Consider the following 19,898-nt stretch of genomic DNA (forward strand, 5'->3'; position numbering starts at 1 on the left):
GATACTTGTAAACGCACGTTTATAGCAGCACAATTTGCAACTGCAAAACTAATGGAACCAGCCCGAATGCCCATCAATGAGTGGATAAATAAATTGAATTGTGGTATACCTGAGGTCAGGAGTTCAAGACTAGCCTGGCCAATATGGTGAAGCCCCATCTCTACTAAAAATACAAAAACTAGCTGGGCGTGGTGGCGTGTGCCTGTAATCCCAGCTACATGGGAGGCTGAGGCAGGAGGACGGCTTGAACTAGGGAGGCAGAGGTTGCAGTGAGCTGAGATTATGCCACTGCACTCCAGCCTGGGAGACAACGGGAGACTCCATCTCAAAAAAAAAAAAAAAAAGAAAGAAATTGTGGTATATATACATCCAGGGAATACTACTCAGCCATAAGAAGGAACGAAATAATGGCATTTGCAGCAACTGGAATACCATTATTCTAAGTGAACTCACTCAGGAATGGAAAACCAAACATCATACGTTCTCACTCGTACATGGGAGCTAAGCTATGAGAATGCAAAGGCGTAAGAATGATACAACGGACTCTGGGGACTCAGGGAAAAGGTGGGGGGGCGGTGAGGGATAAAAGACTACACATTGGGTACGGTGTACACCGCTCAGATGACAGGTGCACCAAAATCTTAGAAATCACCACTAAAGAACTTATTCACGTAACCAACCACCACCTGTTCCCTAAAAACCTCCTGAAATAACAAATACCAAAAGTGCAAAAATACCCATTTCACAGCATGAGTTCCAGAGCTGCTCCAGTTTAGTCAACCAGTGTAAGTATCATGCATCCTTGAAGATTATCTATGTAGACCAAAACGGAGCCTGGTCTTGCCTAGCATAAAGTCTAGGATGACTAATACCAGTGTTGATCATAATCCTGAAGGACACAATCCCAAACACCATAACCCCAAATGTTGAAGTCCCAAAAGATCAAAATCCTTAAAATCACAACCTGGACAAAATAAAATTTCAAATTCTGGGGAAAGGATTAGTATGTTTTTCGTTGTAAACAAGACAGTTGCATCATGTTATACAGAAGTATTACCTTGTTATTGTCTTAAGTATGGTTTAGACACATAAGGGTGCCAAGTTGCCAATGAGCAGAATTGTGGACTTAATTTTAGGTGTCAATTTTACTGGATTAAGGAGTATTTAGAAACCTGGTAAAGCATTATCTGGGTGTGTCTGTGAGGTTGTTTCCGGGGATTAGTTTGTAAGTCTGAGTGGACTGAGTGGGGAAGATCTGCCTTCAATGTTGGTGGGTACCATCCAACAGGCGGGGGCCCAGAGAGAACAAATACAGAAGGCAAATTGGTCTCTAAGAGGTAGGATAGATTTTTCTTCTTTTTTAAGATTGAGTTTTGCTCTTGTTGCCCAGGCTGGAGTGCAATGGCTCCATCTCAGCTCACGACAACCTCCGCCTCCCGGGTTCAAGCTATTCTCTGCCTCAGCCTCCCAAGTAGCTGGGAGTACAGGCAAGCGCCACCACGCCTGGCTAATTTTGTATTTGTAGTAGAGATGGGGTTTCTCCATTTTGGTCAGGCTGGTCTTGAGCTCCCGACCTCAGGTGATCTGCCCGCCTCAGCATCCCAAAGTGCTGGGATTACAGGCATGAGCCACCATGCCCAGCCTAGGACAGATTTTTCTTCTGGTGCCTTGGACATTAAAAATTTGACTCCATGACCGCAATGTTGACTCTGTGTGTAAGCATTATATGTGTGCATAAAAATGTTGAAAGTTCCTCAATAAACGAAGAGACATCTGTTTTTTGTACACGTGCATTTGTGAAGGATAAAATTTCTCAAGACCTCGTCTCTTTGGGAGACAATGCAGTGGTAACGCAACAGTTTTTGAACCATCTCATCAAGACTTAGGTTTTCTGTCACAGTATTACAGATGACCAGTTATATAAAGCTAGGTGCCCACAATTACCAAGCATAGTGACAAAGCATTTATACATTTCACTTTTTGACCTATTTCTTTATGAATGTTTCATCTGCTCATCACCGTTATATCCGTGCAACTGTCATTGGTATACCTGAGTGTTTATCTTGCAAAAATGTTACTATTCCCTATTTTATCGTGTAGTGGCCTATGAAACGTTCTGTTGTGTTGTTTCTCAAATAAATACGCTTTTAAAAATGTAAGTAAATTTTCGAAGAATGTTTAGTATTTCTTCCAGAATTGTATTTTGGGATTTTGACCTTTTGGGATTGTGATTTTCAGAATTTTAGACTTTAGGGATTTTGATCTTTGGAGATTACAGTATTTTATTCAAAATTACGGTGTTCAGGACTGTCTTTTGAGATTATGTCCCAAAGCCAATCAACATATATTTAATTTAGTAATTTATTTTCTCTGCACTACTCTCTCTCTGGGTAAGGCATCACTGTACTGACCCTAGAAGCACTAAGTGATTACTGTTGAAGAGGATAGTCTATTTTCTGTTTGGAAAAAAAAAAAATTCAATACTAAAATTTTATATTAACAAAAAGTTTTTTTTTTTTAATCAAAGTACATAAAATAAAGGTGGACACAACTGTAAGTGATCACCAACCAGGGGATGTTTGGGATTTTTAGATGCATTAAAAGAGAGTATAGAGAATATCCACCTGCAAGTAAGATTGTATTCTTTTGCAACCCTGCGATTTTCAAATGGCACCCCAACACAGTCTTTGGTCAGGATAAGGGATCCTGCAGGCCTAGCCTTACCGTCCACATCAAATATAGGTGGAGGGATGCCATATTCTCCACATTTGGAGCTCTGTCAGGCTGCTCCCTTTCCACCAGTCCTATCCAGTGATACTGCAGACAAAGGGTGAGGCAACAGGAGACATCATACCGATGTTGATCAGGAGAGGAAGAAGGTGCAATCTTACTTCCAGGATTTCACATTTGGAAGAATGCCTTGGGAGTGGTGGGTAGCCCAAGGCTGTTCCCAGGAAAAGAAGCAGGCACAGGGCCCAGGACTCAGGCTCCATTTTGACCCAACGTTTATTGTCCTTTTACAACATGTCATTTTTTGGTTTAGAAACTGCTTGTGATTAGTTTTCCAACATTAACTCAAAAGCATGTAAAATAAATCAACCTACTCTCTATATAAACATCCAGCAACTGTGGCCCCTACCCACCTACCCAGGTTGGATAGGGGGAAGGGAGGGCTCGGGCAGCATTGAGTCAAGTGCAGATGCTTTACTGTGGCAGGTGGCAGTAGTGCCTTGGTTCACACCCCACACAGGTCCCCTGCACTGCCCCAAACTACAACAGAAATGGCATAGGCCCAAGGCCCAATTCCCTGTTGGTAATTCACTCTCCGCCTACCAAATGAAAATCGCTTTTATTTTATCGCTTTTGTTTTGTATTTTTGCAACAGAAACCCCCTGTCCAGAGTCAGACTGTAGCTGAACTGTTCAGACTGGAGAATGGAGCAGGCTGTGGGCGCACCCCTGGTCCCTCTCCTGGGCAAGCGCCCCCACCCCCAGGGAACAAGGTCCAGGCAGGCCAGCTCACTGCACGCTGGCCACCACCACTTAGCCATACAGGTCATCATCATTGTCTTCTGTGTATACACTGCCACCTGTGCCGCCTCCACTGCCCTGACTGGGGCCAGCTCCACCCTGGTTCCCTGAAGGGAATCTGTGTACAAGAGCAAAGCCAAAAAAGAGGGTTAGGACAGGGCCTGTGTAAGATTTCCACAACTACCCCTCTAGCTTCCTTAGGACTCCCATCCCTTTTGGTGTAGGTCCCCAAAGTAACTTAAGCACTGTCTAATGCTCCCAACCAACTTACCTGAAGCTGCCAAAGCCCCGACTCTGCTGAAGGGTCTGGGCAAACATCTCATACTTCCGAATGTCATTGTCACTGACAGAACGGCGCGCAAAGCGCATGGCTTCTTCAAAGTGATCTCGACGGATCTCAGGCACTGGATCATCCTCTTCTACCTCCTATAGTTGGTAAACACAGATCACTAGGGCTAGTTAAAGCCCAGCCTGGATTTCATCCCAGGCCTCCCATTACTGCAGTTTATTGGTCTCCTTGCCCTTCCAATCCAACCTGAGGTAAGATGCTAGGCCATGCTTCCTAAAATTGAGTCACTGCTCTGCTTAAAAACTTGTCAATGCACTCTGGAAAAGGGAAAACTGTAGGGACAGAAATCACATCAGTGATGGGGCTTAAGGAGGGGAGATGTTGACTGAAGTGGCTAAGGAAACTTTTTGAGATAGTAGAAATTTTAAGTCTCAACTGTGGTAGTAGTTATAGAACTTACACACACTTGTCATAAAGCATGGAAATGGTATATAGAAAGAGTGAATTTTATTGTATTTATATCATACCTTAATAAACCTTAATACTTTAAAAGGAAATGCCAATGGCTTTCAGTGCTTACCACATTTGGATTACATCCTACCTAGCGGTCTCACTTCCAGTGACATATATACTCTTAAATCTACCCAGGGTTTCCCAATGATTGCAATCCTACTACTAGAGCACATTATTTGGGCTGCTTATTCCCTTTATTCAAATTCTACTCTCTTCACAGCCCAGCTCAAAACCTATCTCTTCCATTGAGAGGCCAATTTCTGTGACTTATGTGACTACCTCCTAGGATTAGTTCATCAGTAGTTGTTAAGCTTTTATGGGAGAGAGAAGGGATGTCACAGACCCTTCAAAAGGGAAAGAAAGCCATTTATTTGCTCATTAAGTCCCATGTTTGGAACTTAATGAATTAATTAAGGGTAACACAAGACATAGTGGAAAACAAGTGAGATGACAGAGATCTTACCTTTATGGAACTTACAAACACATGAATTTGCCTTTTCATTTTGGGAGGTCTGTGGACCCTATCCCTTCCCCAACCATCAGGGATAAGTATATGAGTCTCATCTCAGCTCAAAACCTTGCTCTGTGGTTCACGCCTGTAATCCCAGCACTTTGGGAGGCCGAGGTGGGCACATCACAAGGTCAGGAGATCGAGACCATCCTGGCTAACGTGGTGAAACCACGTTTCTACTAAAAAAAAAATACAAAAAACTAGCCGGACATGGTGGCATGTGCCTGTAGTCCCAGCTACTCGGGAGGCTGAGGCAGGAGAATCGCTTGAACCTGGGAGGCAGAAGTTGCAGTGAGCCAAGATCGTGCCACTGCACTCCAGTCTGGGCAACAGAGTGAGACTTCGTCTCAAAAAAAAAACAAAAAACAAAAAACAAAAAAAACCTTGCTGTGTTTGCTGCACTCTCATACTTTGATTTCCCTCATGGAGCTTGGTTCAGACTGAGAATGGAGCCTGACCATCTCTTCTCGGCCTTATTCCAAATTGAATGGATTCACCTCAGCATTCTTTATCTTTGATGCCCTATTAAAATTCTTCTCAGTTAGATGATCTTTCCAACAGCTTCTACTCTCAACTCCAGGGCATGGTGGTGGCTGCTGCCTGGCTCTCCATGATTGGCACATCTGGGGAAAGGATGCAGACTCACCATGGCTGATGGGTTTGTCTGCCTCTCTCGTTCTCGCCTAATCTCACTCTCGATGGATTCACGGATGGCCAGCTTGCAAGCACGCTGGCAAATCTCTGTCAGGTCAGCTCCAGAGAAGCCATTAGTCATTTTAGCCAGGAACTCCAAGTCCACATCCTAAAAGCAGCAGCAGAGGTACCTTAGCATTTAGCCTCTCCTCTCGAGATACGCAGATCTTTGGGCTACCCGAGCACTCCCAACTACAGTTTGCCCCTTCTTTGGCCACCCCATTTTATTCCTGATTCTAGATTATCTTGATATCCTCAAAAATTCTACCTTCCCTTTAGACCAACCCTAACCCCAGTGGAATCTTGTCCAGAAACTAAAGAGCACTCCGTACCAGCCTGAGGACTCATGCAAGTCTCCCACAGCCCATGATCTTGCACCTGCCTTGGCAACTGGGGACTTGCGCAGGTTAGCCTTGAGGATGGCAACACGGGACTTCTCATCAGGAAGTGGGATGTAGATGAGCTGATCAAGACGGCCAGGTCTGAGGATGGCAGGATCAATGATGTCAGGCCGGTTGGTAGCGCCAATGATGAACACATTTTTTTTTGTGGACATGCCATCCATTTCTGTCAGGATCTGGTTGATGACTCGGTCAGCAGCCCCACCACCATCTCCAATGTTACCTCCACGAGCCTTGGCAATCGAATCCAGCTCATCAAAGAATAGCACACAGGGGGCAGCTTGGCGGGCCTGTAGGAGGAATGGATTGATTCAAGCACTAACAAAACTAGATGTCTCTAGGCAAACGTGGTGGCTCACACCTGTATTCCCAGCACTTTGGGAGGCCAAGGTGGGAGGATCACTTGAGGCCAGAAATCCGAAACCAGCATGGGCAACATACTGAGACTTTGTCTCTACAAAAAATAAAAAATTAGCCAGATGTGGTGACGCATGCCTATAGTCCCAGCTACTCAGGAGGCTGAAGTAGGAGAATTGCTTAAGCCCAGGTTTCAAGGTTACAGTGAGCCATGACTGTACCACTGCCCTCCAACCTGGGCAACAGAGCCAGACCCTGTCTCAAGAGAGAGAGAGAGAAAAAAAAAATAACACTAGGTCTCTCAGACCTCAGAAAGAAAATCAAGTGACTTACTGTGCAGTTGAGCAGCCAGCACTAAGAATATTTCAACCCTCTTAAAGAAAAACAGCCTCTATTCCTTGCCCTCAGGCAAATCAATACATAGTTCAGCCTATTGTAGCTCACCTTGTCAAAGATTTCTCTGACATTGGCCTCAGACTCCCCAAACCACATGGTGAGCAGCTCAGGACCCTTGATGGAGATGAAGTTGGCCTGGCATTCATTAGCAATGGCTTTGGCCAACAAAGTTTTCCCACAGCCAGGAGGTCCATAGAACAGAACTCCCTTGGAAGGTGTCATGCCAAACTTCAGGAATTTGTCTGGGTGCTCCACAGGATACTAGGAGGAAAAGGAAAGAGGGTTCAAGGCTACCTCCACATTTTGAAAGAAACCTAACTAAACAGAAGCATCCCCTCCATTATTTCATGGTGTACCCAATGGTATCAGATCCAGGTTCTCTAGAAGAAGACTCCTTAGTGCCTCAAACCTAAGAACAGTAGGTTCCTAAGTCGTGCTCTCACAACTCTTGCAGCAAATGTGTTGACACCCTGAGATCACCCAGATCAATTACAATGTACTGAGACAGTGACTCACCCTGGACCAAGTTGCCCTACCTGGACCAGCTCCTGTAGCTCACGTTTGACATCCTCTAGGCCCCCGATGTCTTCCCAGGTTACCTGTGGCACCTCTACCACGGTTTCCCGCAGTGCTGATGGGTTACTCTGGCTCAAGGCCCACTAGAAAAGGAGGGAAAACTGGGGATGAGACTTATCAAGGGAGGGGTCAAAGCACGTATGTGTGTACCTGAGGCACGGGTGTGGTCCTTACCCGGAAGTCATCCATAGTAACTGCTAGAGAGTTCATGACCTCGGCATCAATGGTCTCATCCTCTAGGTCAATGAGATCCATCTTCTTGCGGATGGCTTGCAGAGCAGCCTCTGAGCACAGGGCTGCTAAGTCAGCACCCACATGCCCGTGAGTCTCATTGGCTACCTGCAGAGAAAGATCTACTTACTATGCTGCCTCAAAGACCCAGCTGCTGCAGGAGGCTCAGAGACAATAGAATCCTTCCCCTGACTGCTATCCCTGGGTCCTCTCATTTCCTTGAATATATACTATCAATACCTTTATGGGCTGGGTTTTAAGTACTTAATTCTGGACTTGGGACCTAGAAATAAGGCTGCTCCAACAATTCTGATTTACTCTAAATGCAGCGTCAACTATGAAAAATGCCAACTCCCATTTCCTGGATTCAATCTCAGATTACTTCCTTTCCCCTGTCCAGAAATCAAAACCCATCTCCTCACATCTTAACCTTATGTCTCTAGCCAGTTCCCAGCAACTGCCTAGAGACACTGTAACGCCTGGTCAGCCATCATCATCACTTCACCTGTTCCAGGTCCACATCATCTGCCAGCTTCATGTTCTTGGTATGGATCTGAAGAATCTCTAAGCGTCCTGTAGCATCAGGAATTCCAATATCTACCTCCCTGTCAAAGCGACCTGTGGGACAGTACACAAACATAAACAGGGCTCATCTCTAGTCCAGAGGTAAGAGACAGGCCTAGGGTGACCAACCATCTCAGCCAGCACAGGATTGTCCTAATGCCAGCACTAAAAAAGTCTCAAGCTCTGGGAAACCTTTCAGTCTCAGGAAAACCAGGGTGGTTGGTCACTCTAGACAGGACGTAGGGTAAAGGAAAAAGACCCCTGGACCCAATCACTGTGAAGGGCTTCAAGAGGATTAGGTGACTTAGATGAAGGAGAGAAGTAGGACCTAAGCAAGGACGGGGTCAAAAGTATCTGGAGTCCTTACCAAATCGCCGTAGAGCTGGGTCAATGCTGTTGGGTCTGTTGGTTGCTGCCATAACAATCACATGTGCCCTCTGCTTTAGGCCATCCATGAGGGTCAACAACTGTGATACAATGCGCCGCTCCACCTCGCCATGAGTCTGCCAGAACAGGATGTCTGGTCAGAAGTGAAGTCAGGGCCTTTCAACCCCCCTCTATCCCCTCAGGTAAGCTCCTACTTTCTCTCTTTTGGGAGCGATGGCATCTAGCTCATCAATGAAGATGATGGCAGGAGCATTCTTCTCAGCCTCCTCAAAGGCTTTACGAAGGTTGCTCTCAGACTCACCAGCCAATTTGCTCATGATCTCAGGACCTGAAAGGATACAGAATGGAGACAATAACAAAATGATAGTCTTTCCCAATTCCTCCCAAAAATCAGTTATCTTGCTTGTTTGGCCCAGAGACAGGTCCTGGGTGAGAAGGTGGTAACCTCTGCCTACTTCTCACATCCTCTACCAGCCATTATCCCAGGACAGCCACCAGGCAAGGCTGGAGAGAAGCCCAGGGACTCACTATACTCTTCTCACAGTTGAACTGTAAAGGTGACAGCAAATGCTCTAGGACCTCTGGCTAGAGCAAGAGAGATGGCACACCAGATGGCACACCACTAAACAGCATTCTCCAAGAGCCAGTGATCAAAGTTCATTTGCCCCAAACCCTCTCAAATCACTAACCATTCACCCTTTGATTTCTCATTCTAGCTTGCTCCCGCTCTGCAGTCTGTCCACAATCTTTCTCAAAGGGGGCAGGACAGGGAGCACCAATGTAAAATATCTTCCCTTTATTGCTCTTCTGTCTGTAACATACCCCAGCATAAGAAATATGCTATAAACATGAAGGAGGGCATGGGTGCAAAAAGGATGTGTTCATAAGTGCTCCAGCTCATAAGCCCAGTTCAAAATTGGGTCTAGCTAGACATAAGATGAACCAAATATCTCACCATTGATCAAGAAGAAGAAGGCTCCAGTCTCATTTGCTACAGCTCGAGCAATCAGGGTCTTTCCTGTTCCAGGAGGTCCGTAAAGCAGGATTCCTCTAGGAGGCTGTGGACCAATGCAGAGTGTGATTAGGTTCCCACCTTCTCCCAAACCCTAAAATGGCTTGACTAGCGCTCCAGAGAGGGTGAGAATCAGGCTTCAACCCTGACAATATTAAGAATAAGCCCTCCGCAGTAAATGCTAAGAAGACAATTACTTTAGGCCACACTCATTTCTATTACTAGCAGGGAAAATACTGCTAGAAAGTGGGCAACATTTATGATTGCAACTTGCATAGGAGACTAAGGGCAGAGAAACTGTAGTCCAAATGCGTTTGAAGATACATGACTAGGGAAAGGCAAGAGGCCATTACACTAAGGGCTCAATTTTAGACAGACCAAGGGCCAAAGACTAGCTAAGCCATTTAAGAGAGCAGGGTCTATTTTCTTCATTGCCAGAGGATCACTCACTCCAGTAATCATGCCCTCCAGAATTTATCACACTGGAATGCTGTTCCTTACAATCATCATTTTTCTTCTTCAACACTACCCTTTCTATGGCCTCATCCACAAGCAGAACATGTAAACTGTCCACATAGAAAATGAAATTATTTGTGTGCCACCCACTAGGAAAATGAGTAACTTCATCTTCAGTGTGTTCCATGGAAACACTTTCCCACTAGGAAAAGATTGAGAAGCTACACTCTAGACCAATAGTTCTCAAATGTTTTAGACTCAGAACCCTTTAACACTCTGAAAATTTCCTTAACTTCCTTACTTCTACTGGGTGACATTGCTCTAGACAGGCTGGCAAACTATGGTGAGATTTGTTTTTACAGGGTCCATTGATACAAGAATGGCTTTTATATTCTAAGAGTTGTAAAGAAAAACCCATATATATATGTGTGTGTGTTTTGTGCGCACACGCACACAACAGACAATTTGATTAGCCTACTCTGGTTTTAGACCATCAGCTCTAATGAATTTAGAGCCTTAGGTAAACTAAAGGATACGTTATTGCCCCTCTAATCCAAGGCAATAATGAAAGCCATGCATGAAAACAGTCCCAGGATTAGACATTGGGACAGGATTAGACATTGGCACCACTTTAGACTTGATTCCAGAGCCCAGGATGCTCACCTTCACACCAATTGCCTTAAAGAGGGCAGGATGTCTCAGGGGCAGTTCCACCATCTCCTTTATCTGAGCTAGCTGCTTCCTGCAGCCACCAATGTCATCATACCCTACTTCATTCAAGGACTCTTCCTCATCCTGAATATGGAGGAGATAAAGAAAGGAGAAGGCAAGAATATTATATCAGCAAAAGCTGAGTTTCTCTAAATCATTCCACTACCTAGTGTGCAAAAACCTACCGTATAAGAAGATTCTCAACCCGGCATGGTGGCTCACATCTGTAATCCCAGCACTTTGGGAGGCAGAGGTGGGAGGAATGCTTGAGTCCAGGAGTTCCTGGGCAATACAGCAAGACTCCATCTCATTAAAAATTAAATTAAATTTAAAAAAGATTCTCCTCTAAAGGGATCCGGCCTCAAAGAACAACTACAAAAATCCCAAGGCAAAGATTTCTAGCACAGTCCTTGCCTCTCACATTACTCGTAGTCTTACTGAGAAGGGGTCTCTAAAATCTGAAGCTGGAAACCCTGGGAATGGGCAGAGGCCTGAAGCCACCATCAGCTTTACTTCAAAAATGATTTCAATCACTTATATATTTTGGGTTCAGTCTAGTTTTTTGAAATTCCTGGCATTAGGTAAATCCAAGAAACAATTAGGCCCAGAAATGAATAGCTGGCAGGTTTCTCATCCCTGAAAGATGGTTAGTTCTCCAAAGAACACCCAGTCTTTTTCTTTTTTGAGACAGAGTCTCACTCTGTCACCCAGGCTGGAGTGCAGTGGCACAATCTCAGCTCACTGCAACCTCCGACTCCTGGGTTCAACCGATTCTCCTGCCTCAGCCTCCTGAGTAGCTGGGATTACAGATGTGTACCACCATGCCTGGCTAATTTTTGTATTTTTAGTAGAGATGGGATTTCACCATGTTGCCCAGGCTGGTCTTGAACACCTGACCTCAAGTGATCTGCCCATCTCAGTCTCCCAAAGTACTGGGATTACAGGTGTCAGCCACCGCAGCCGGCCGAGCACCCAGTCCTGACAGTTACCACATGATGCCACACTGAGTAATCATAAAATCGGATACTGGAATCAGGGAGAAAACTCACCTCTCGTTTGATAGGCTCCCCTTCGCAGTGGATCACTGTGTCTGGAGCAACAATGCAATAAGGGCTAGGATCTGTTTCCACCACTTTGAACTCCACAGCACGCATCCCACCACGGACAAGAAAAATGTCTCCTGCGAGAGCAAACAGTACAAGCACAGTTAGAGGTGTCAACTACAAGACAAAGTGAGAACTCATCAGACCCTGGGGTCAAAATGCCAAGCTCATTAGATAGTGCCCTTCATTAGATATTGCCCTACCTCTCCCCAACTCCACCCCACCTGTCTTAATAAGCAGCAGGCAAGATGAGAAAGGTAAACTGTGAAGAGTCCCTCTGACAAGAGGTCAGTGAACAAAACCTGACATGTCAGAAGCCCATCAAGTTCTGACTTCTGCCATATAGGTAGCCCAAGTTTTCACTACAACCACCAATGGTAGAACTGTGCACTCTGGACCCTGACCCAGCCAAAATGGACCACTTTCTCCTTCAGAGATCCATAAAGATAGCTTACTCTCCTGGAACAGAGAAGGGGAGAGATGGAGCAAAGGAAGGATGGAGGAAAAAAAGAGGGTAAGACATATGAATATGTGTGCAGGGTTTGCATGTGTGTGTATACAAATATATGAAAATGAGTCTAGCGGCCGGGCACAGTGGCTCACCTGAGGTCAAGAGTTCGAGACGAGCCTGACCAACATGGTGAAACCCCGTCTCTACTAAAAACACAAAAATTAGCCGGGCGTGGTGGCAGACGCCTGTAATCCCAGCTACTTGGGAGGCTGAGGCAGGAGAATTGCTTGAACCCAGGAGGCGGAGGTTGCAGTGAGCCGAGATTGCACCACTGCGCTCCAGCCTGGGGGACAGCGCGACACTCTGTCTCAAAAAAAAAAGAAAAGAAAATGAGACTAGGCTTGATGGCTCATGCCTGTAATCCCAGCACTTTGGGAGGCCATGGCAGATGGATCACTTGAGCCCAGCAGTTTGAGACCAGCCTGGGCATCATAGTGAGACCCTGTCTCTTTTTTTTTTTTTTTGAGACAGAGTCTTGCTCTGTCACCCAGGCTGCAGTACTGTGGCCCAATCTTGGCTCACTGCAACCTCCACCTCTTGGGTTCAAGCAATTCTCATGCCTCAGCCTCCCAGGTAGCTGGGATTACAGGTGCCCACGATGGGGTTTCGCCATGTTGGCCAGGCTGGTCTCAAACTCCTGGCCTCAAGTGATCCACCCGCCTCAGCCTCCCAAATTGCTGGGATTATAGGTGTGAGCCACGGTGCCCAGCTGACCCCATCTCTTAAAAAATGAATAAATAAATACAGGGGAAAAGCATAAAAGATTTAAAAAAAAAAAAAGAAAAAGAAAATGAGATAAAGATGTTCCAAGGTTTATTCCCTACAGTCAATAATCCTTAAGCTCAGAATTAGCTCTCACCTTTCCGGATGGGTCGATACGCTTCCAGGAAGTACGGCTTAAGGTATACCTCGAAGAGATTACCAGTAATGCCTTCCACTGTGTCATCAATGGGCAGCACATGGATACGTTTGCCGTACTTCACATCAGGGCATGGCTGGATGCTGAGGATGACAAGCAGACTCCATATTACCAACCACACTTCGGGCCCAAGCACTGGGTGTCCAAAAGGGCCTGGCACAGATAGCTGATAGTAAGTGAAAAAGAAAAGGCAGGATGGCTTTAGGCGAAGAGAGGAAGGAGAACAGGGTGGAAGTGAGGGCGAAGGAACAGCCCCACTCACTCCTAATCAGTGAGCCAAAATCAAGAGCCACACATTTAGAAACCCCACAAAGACATGCAGGGTCTTCAGGGAGATATCCAAGGATGATCCCCTTCTAGCTAATACTGGTGACCCAATATTACAAGGGAAGGTCTTAAGCTAACAATTGTCAGGGTCAGTGAAACAGAAGTGAAAAAAACAAAATTATCTCAGCCAGGTGGTCAGAACACCTTGAGGAAGTGACTAAGCACTCCCAAGAAGAAAGCTACATGAAACTTAGACTCCATTCAAAAGAATCAAAAGCCTGAGATGATCCTGGCCAGGTGATGGTTGGTTGGGTAGGAGTGGCTAGAGATGACTCCAAGATGGGGTAACCTCTTGCCTAAAATTATGCAAGAACAAGCAAAATCACTCACATTGAGAGCTATCCCAGGTCTGGCTCCAACTATTCCTCTCTCCCGGGTTAACTTAGGGGCTTAAAAGACCTGCTAGCAGCTCACCTTCCATGCCCATACCCCCACCTCATTCCAACCCCAACACAAGCCATCAATTAGACATACTAGTGAGAGTAGTGAGGAGATTATTTGGCATATACATACACACCCTCGAGTGGTATCCTAAGCCAGGATATAAGTATGATAAATTACACCTCTAGTAGGAAAAAATAAAGCCATCAAGAAAGTTACAGGAACGCCAATTTGTCTCAAGGGACCTGCAGAAATGGATTTTGAAGTCCCAGGGAGGCAGAACCAAAACCTAAAGACAACCCTGAAGCATAAGTCTTCCCATGACCAGGAGGCTTCCTGCATCGACAGGTGCCAAGAACTTGGTCCTGCCTGTAATACATGGGTCCTGCCTGTAATGCAGGCTATCTCTGGCCTCCCATCCCTGTGAAGCCAAAAACCCCACACACACCTGATGACATCCCCTAGGCGTACACGAAGGTTATTCCGAACAACTCTATTCATCCGAATCTTCTCATCAGAACAAGTATCATCAGAAAGGACGATGCAAACAGCTTCTCGTCTCTTCTTTCCTTTCAGCAACACTGTGTCACCTCGGAACAACTGCAATTCATCCATCTTGGGCTGAGGAAAGAAAGTTAAGGCCTTTGGGTCATTGGGCTGACGGGGAGTAAGCAGCAGCCCTGGAGATTGGGATTCCCAGTAAACCCCACTCTATCTGCAGTCACTGCAAGAAAAATGAGAAAAGAAACCTGGGAAAATCCCTCAAGTAAGTGCAGTAAGGAAAGACTAGTCTGTGGCCACAGCTTACCTGGGACAAGGACACCACACTGTTGTCCTCATTGATGGCTTCATCAACAATTAACCGATTGGGACGGTTCTTCTGTTTGAGAATGGCTGTTGATAGGTCATCACCTTTTGAACTAGAAGGAGGAAATGGAGTCAGTAGATACTCCTGCCCCAAGCGCCTCGCCAGTCTCTAAAACTCATACTTAGGAAAGAAACAGTGAATAGATGAAGCTGTCCCTAGACCAGAAAGCTCAGATGAAGGAAAGGCAGCCAAGGTCACGAGGAGCAGTATCTACCATACATATTACAATACCCATTCCAGCAGCTCCTGGTATTTTGAGCGTCAGTGTCCCAGCTATAAGGCCCCAAGTGAGTGATCCTGCCCCAGGGTCAGAAAATAATGGCCTAAGAAGAAGACATAATAGAAATGGAGGCTGAATAGTTGTTAGAGAAATAAAAATAGTCTTAGACTTACAGAAGAGTGGTTAAGAGCAGGAACTCTATAGTCAGACCCATTGGGTCTGAATTCCAATTATGCCACTGCTTAATTGTGATCTTGGGCAAGTTACCTAACCTCTGAACTTTGATGTCCTCCTCTATAAAAGAAGGAATATAATACTTATCTCAGAGGCTTATTGTCTTAAGGGAGATAATGAATGTAAAATGCTTAACATAATACCTGGCACATGGTATTAATGGTCACCATGATTAACAGTATAGAGTAAAGCATAAGCTAACTTTCCAGGGAATTAAGTAAGCCAGACAACCTCCCTTGAGGCTCAGGGAGGCCTTAAGTTCTACCAAGCAAGCCTGGGGACAACGAAGCAGAATCATTGGTGCTACCCTCCTTATAGGCTAAACCTACTGATGCCAGGGCATTCCATAGTACCAAAGGAATGCCAAGCATAAAGACCATCATATTTGGAAAAAACACTAACAGACATCAAACCGCCAGAAAGAGGCTCAAGGTCAAAAGGAACTTCACAGTAATATCTGCAAAAGTACACAATTCCATAAAGTTGGCTCAAAAAATCAAAACCAAGAAATGCTGAGACATGGGGCAAATCCAAATCCCTCTCACCCAAATCAAAGTCGACTGGGTCTACACTCAGTGTTATTTCCTAGAAGCTAGGATCATTCACCAGACAGTGACACCAACTTATTACCTAGCCCGTTTCCAGCTGTCACTTACTAGACTCAGCAAGCTCCCTCTCCCTTTTTTTTTTTTTTTTTTTTTTTTTGAGATGGAGTTTCGCTTTTGTTGTCCAGGCTGGAATGCAATGCTGCGATCTCAGCTAACTGCAACCTCCACCTCCCGGGTTCAAGTGATTCTCCTGCCTCAGCCTCCCGAGTAGCTGGGATTACAGGCATGCGCCACCACACCTGGCTAATTTTGCATTTTTACTAGAGATGGGGTTTCACCATGGTGGTCAGGCTGGTCTCGAACTCCTGACCTCAGGTGATCTGCCCACCTCGGCCTCCCAAAGTACTGGGATTACAGGCGTGAGCCACAGCACCCAGCGCTCTCTCTTTTTTAAGAGCGGCCTCGTGTTAGTAAGGCTCAGGAAAACATAAGCATTAACCAAAGTAGGAAGGCCAGACAATGAAGGAAGCAAAGAAAATAAATTTTTAAAACGAATTTCTTCATTCAACAAATTCATGAGTCTCTATTATGTACCAGGCATTGTTCTAAGGGCTGGGGATACTGAAGTCAACAAAACAAGACAAAATAGTATTCCCATTGGAAATATCCTCACAATTTGCAAGAGACAAAGAAAAATGCTGTGCTCAGCTAGGAAGCCATGGGGTTCTTACATCTTTGGGTCCTGATACACCCAAGAGAAAAACAAACCCCATTCATCTAACAAAATGGTAGGCCTTCTGCTAACCCTCACACATAGGCTGCATTTTTAACCACTGCCTCTAAACTAGTTTCTAACGACAGTTTCCTCTGCTCAAATTTGCTTCCCCCATTCCAAAAGTCTGCCACTCCAGGCACAATGCTGCTGAGTAGGCAGACTCTTCCAATGCTTATCAACACACTAGAGGCCAAGCATGCTCAATGTGACAGTTGAGAGCAATGTAAACCCACGAGCTCTCCCACTCCTGTCCCATCAAAATACTCTTCCAGGGACTGCCCATCTTCTTGCTTGACTTATAGAACTGGGACTGGAGAAAAATAAAACGCCAGATGCCTCTAGTCACCATAGTTTTTTATTTTTTGAAACGGAGTCTCCCTCTGTTGCCCAGGCTGGAGTGCAGTGGCGCGATCTCCCTCACTGCAATCTCTGCCTCCCTGGGTTCAAGTGATTCTCCTGTCTCAGCCTCCAGAGTGGCTGGGACTACAGGTGTGCACCATCACCATGCCTGGCTACTTTTTGCATTTTAATAGAGATGGGGTTTCTCCATGTTGCCCGGGCTGGTCTCAAACTCCTGACCTCAAGTGATCTGCCTGCCTCGGCCTCCCAAAATGCTGGGATTACAGGCCTGAGCCACTGTGCCCGGTCAATAGTTTGTATTTTAATCTCAAAGCTGTATCCTAGGAAAACCTCCATTCTGCCTACCATCCCGGACTCTGGCTCTGGAGATGAGTGGTATGCCCTTTTCTTAAGGTAAAGCCTCTAATTCCCCATCTACCTACTGAGATCAGATGTGGTAATCTCTAAAAGACTGAATTTGGCCTGACCATGGGCCAACAGCAGTTCTGGACACTCTTTGGGGCAATCCTCCATTGTCTTCTGTATAAGTCAATCCCTTTCCAGAACTGCACAGGGGACTCCACGGGACTTGGAAGGGTTTCAGCTAAGAGTCATCAAGGTGACCAAGAGGTTAGAAACAGCTGATGATGCCAGGTTCCAAGAATTTTAGATTTTTACTTTTGAAAATAAGAGGCTGACTGCATATAAACCAAAAGAATACTTTCAGAATAAGTGACTCTTTTAAATAAGCAACTGAGTAATACTTTATCCGAATTCAGAAACTTGAGAAAAAGGAACACACCTCAAAAAACTAATCTCTTCAAGGAAGGAAGGTAATTTGCATAGAGTTTCCTTGGGCTGGCTGTGTTTTTTTTTTTTTTTTTTTTTTTTTTTTTGCCTCTAAAAGCTCTCTATTCTAAATTGAATGGGCTGAGGTAGCCAAGTTTTATCTAACGCTTTCCTAAGGATGGAGGTGGGGTCAGAAAGCCCCAGAGCCCGGGTAATTTCTCAATATAGCTGGTTGGGGAAAGGAGTGCGCGCACGTTTGTGTTTTTGAAGAGTTAGTGCAACTCTAAACTGCACACCACGAAACCTGGAAATCTGGAAAGGCGCACAAAACACGAACTGAGATTCCAACTTTAGCAAGAACCTAAAATGTTAAAGAAAAATTCCTTTCTCCCCACCCACGAGTCATAACATTAAGGAAAACTGGCTCAAACTTTCTAGTATGAACAACAGGCCTAAAGTAAGAAGACCAGAAGCGAAAGGTAGGGCTCGCCCTCTCCCTAACAGTCCTTCACGACTCAGGTCACACACAGAGGATGCCCACCTCCGGCCCCGCCGACCCGGCTCCAAAAAGGCGGCTGTGAGCTTCCCTGAGCTCGGCGGGCCTTCCCCGACCCCGGGCTCCGCCTCGGTGGCAGAGCTCCTGAGGCCTTCACATGGCGCAAAGTCCACGCCCACCGGGCCCGGCTGGGGCCTCGGGCTCGCGGGGCCTGCTCTCTCCGGGGACCAAAGGCTTTCGGCGGGTGGTAGGCCGGACGGCAGACTGGCGCCCCAAAGCCCCGGGGCGCCGCGCCGGCGGAGTGGGCCGGAAGACCTGGCCAGGCCCAGACGTCCGTTCTAAGGGAGCCAATCGGGCGGGCCGGGGCCTGCATGACACAGCACGATCCGGCCCAGGCTCCGACCCGGACCCAACGCAAGCCCCGCCTAGGGGGCGCGCGGGTGCGCAGCTGGCCCCAGCCGGGCCTGCCGGGTCCACGGCCCCTCACTCGCCCCCTAGCTTCCCTTCCCTCTTTCCTGGTCTCCACCTCTCTGACGCGCCCACGGCCAGGCCCCGCCGGGCCTACCCTGCGCGGCTGGTCCCGGTGCGCGCCGCCGCAGCAAGCGAACGGCGCGCGCACACTCACTCGGCTCCAGAAGCCATGGCGCGCGCCTCTCCCGGCCGGCGGCTGTGGCGGCCCGCGGGTAACGGCTACGAGCGGTGGCAAGCGACCGACTGGGCCGGGGCTCGGCTCTTCCAGGCGGTGGGCGAGCAGCGGCGACAAACCCGCAAGCGGCTTCCCTCTCGCTTCCTCCCACCGGCAGCGAGGCGTCGGGCGAACAACGCTGGCTCCTGATCCGCGAGGTGGCAGTGGCAGTGGCAGCGGCAGCGGCAGCGACGACTCAAACGACGGTCGCAGACGCTTCGCTGAGACTGAGCCGAGAAGAGCCGAATCATCGGAAGGGAAGCTGCTCCCACCTCAGCCAATCAGCGCCTGCCCTGCGGACTCTCGCCCGCCTCTCCGCGCCTCTCCCCAGCAACCCGCAGATCACAGCCAATCAGGAAATTCGCTTGCGGCCTGGCTCCCGCCTCAGTGATGCGACACGCCTAGTAACGCCACGTCAATTGGCCGCAACGCTACGCTTCCTCGACGGATTGGAATTCTCAGCCAATCAACGAAAGGAATAGGGCGAGATCGATTAGTGAAAGGAGACCCTTTAATCCCTTAGAGGCGGACTCTCCCACTTGGCTCCAGTTCATTGGCTCCGGAGTTTATCCTCCTGGAAGAACGTGGCACAATAGACTGAACCCTTGTATTAGTCTAGTCCTATTGTGGTAACCCATACACCCATCTTCTCCCAAAACCTGGAGATCTTCTAAGACGCCATCACCACCCTGACACTTCTTGCTCCTTCTCAACGCTGCCTCCAACCACCCCTACTCTGAACTTTCTGACTAGCACCCCACTCCTACCCCATTGTCACTGCACCCTCTGGTAACCCCAATCCCACAGCCTTTGCAGTTTCTCAGCGCTTGTGCCTTTCTTCCTCCCGTCATTAATATTAATACCTTATAATAAGGCACTCAAATCCAGAGAAGTCAAAGGGCAACCACAGAACACACAGCCAATTCAGTAGAACCCAAATTAGCAAGAAAACTGCATATGCTGGGACTTGAAAATCCTTGGGCCCCAAATAACAGGGGTCCCTGTTAGTAGTCAACAGGCAGCTGTTGGTGATATGCTGACTCAATTCACCTTTCACCCTGTACCCACACAGACAC

At 46.9% G+C, this 19,898-nt stretch overlaps 1 protein-coding gene across 3 annotated transcripts, besides 4 other annotated features; it reads right to left on the reverse strand.

Annotated features, from left to right (window-relative positions):
- On the reverse strand, positions 2,490-19,051 carry VCP (valosin containing protein). 3 transcript variants are annotated; one of them, NM_007126.5, is made up of 17 exons: positions 18,763-19,051; positions 14,677-14,788; positions 14,317-14,489; positions 13,101-13,243; positions 11,677-11,807; positions 10,580-10,711; positions 9,404-9,506; positions 8,643-8,776; positions 8,429-8,564; positions 8,003-8,115; positions 7,441-7,605; positions 7,227-7,349; positions 6,739-6,951; positions 5,919-6,227; positions 5,490-5,645; positions 3,802-3,956; positions 2,490-3,648 (listed from the first exon to the last, which is right to left on the reverse strand). In NM_007126.5, exons 1-17 carry the CDS (start codon positions 18,777-18,779, stop codon positions 3,543-3,545), a joined length of 2,421 nt encoding a protein of 806 aa, NP_009057.1. In that variant the 5' UTR covers positions 18,780-19,051; the 3' UTR covers positions 2,490-3,542. The 3 variants fall into 3 exon arrangements, with proteins under 3 accessions (NP_009057.1, NP_001341856.1, NP_001341857.1); NM_001354927.2 differs by having other exon boundaries at positions 18,703-19,051; NM_001354928.2 differs by having other exon boundaries at positions 18,183-19,051.
- Positions 18,129-18,758: a silencer, noted in NCBI's record as "silent region_19859". NCBI's record gives its function as "represses an Ori minimal core promoter by ATAC-STARR-seq in GM12878 lymphoblastoid cells {active_cell/tissue: GM12878}" and the evidence as "EXISTENCE:reporter gene assay evidence [ECO:0000049][PMID:35858748]".
- Positions 19,159-19,208: an enhancer, noted in NCBI's record as "active region_28317". NCBI's record gives its function as "activates an Ori minimal core promoter by ATAC-STARR-seq in GM12878 lymphoblastoid cells {active_cell/tissue: GM12878}" and the evidence as "EXISTENCE:reporter gene assay evidence [ECO:0000049][PMID:35858748]".
- Positions 19,409-19,548: an enhancer, noted in NCBI's record as "active region_28318". NCBI's record gives its function as "activates an Ori minimal core promoter by ATAC-STARR-seq in GM12878 lymphoblastoid cells {active_cell/tissue: GM12878}" and the evidence as "EXISTENCE:reporter gene assay evidence [ECO:0000049][PMID:35858748]".
- Positions 19,569-19,618: an enhancer, noted in NCBI's record as "active region_28319". NCBI's record gives its function as "activates an Ori minimal core promoter by ATAC-STARR-seq in GM12878 lymphoblastoid cells {active_cell/tissue: GM12878}" and the evidence as "EXISTENCE:reporter gene assay evidence [ECO:0000049][PMID:35858748]".

The sequence above is a fragment of the Homo sapiens genome, chromosome 9, assembly GCF_000001405.40.
Source record: "Homo sapiens chromosome 9, GRCh38.p14 Primary Assembly".
In the NCBI taxonomy this organism is placed as follows: domain Eukaryota; kingdom Metazoa; phylum Chordata; class Mammalia; order Primates; family Hominidae; genus Homo; species Homo sapiens.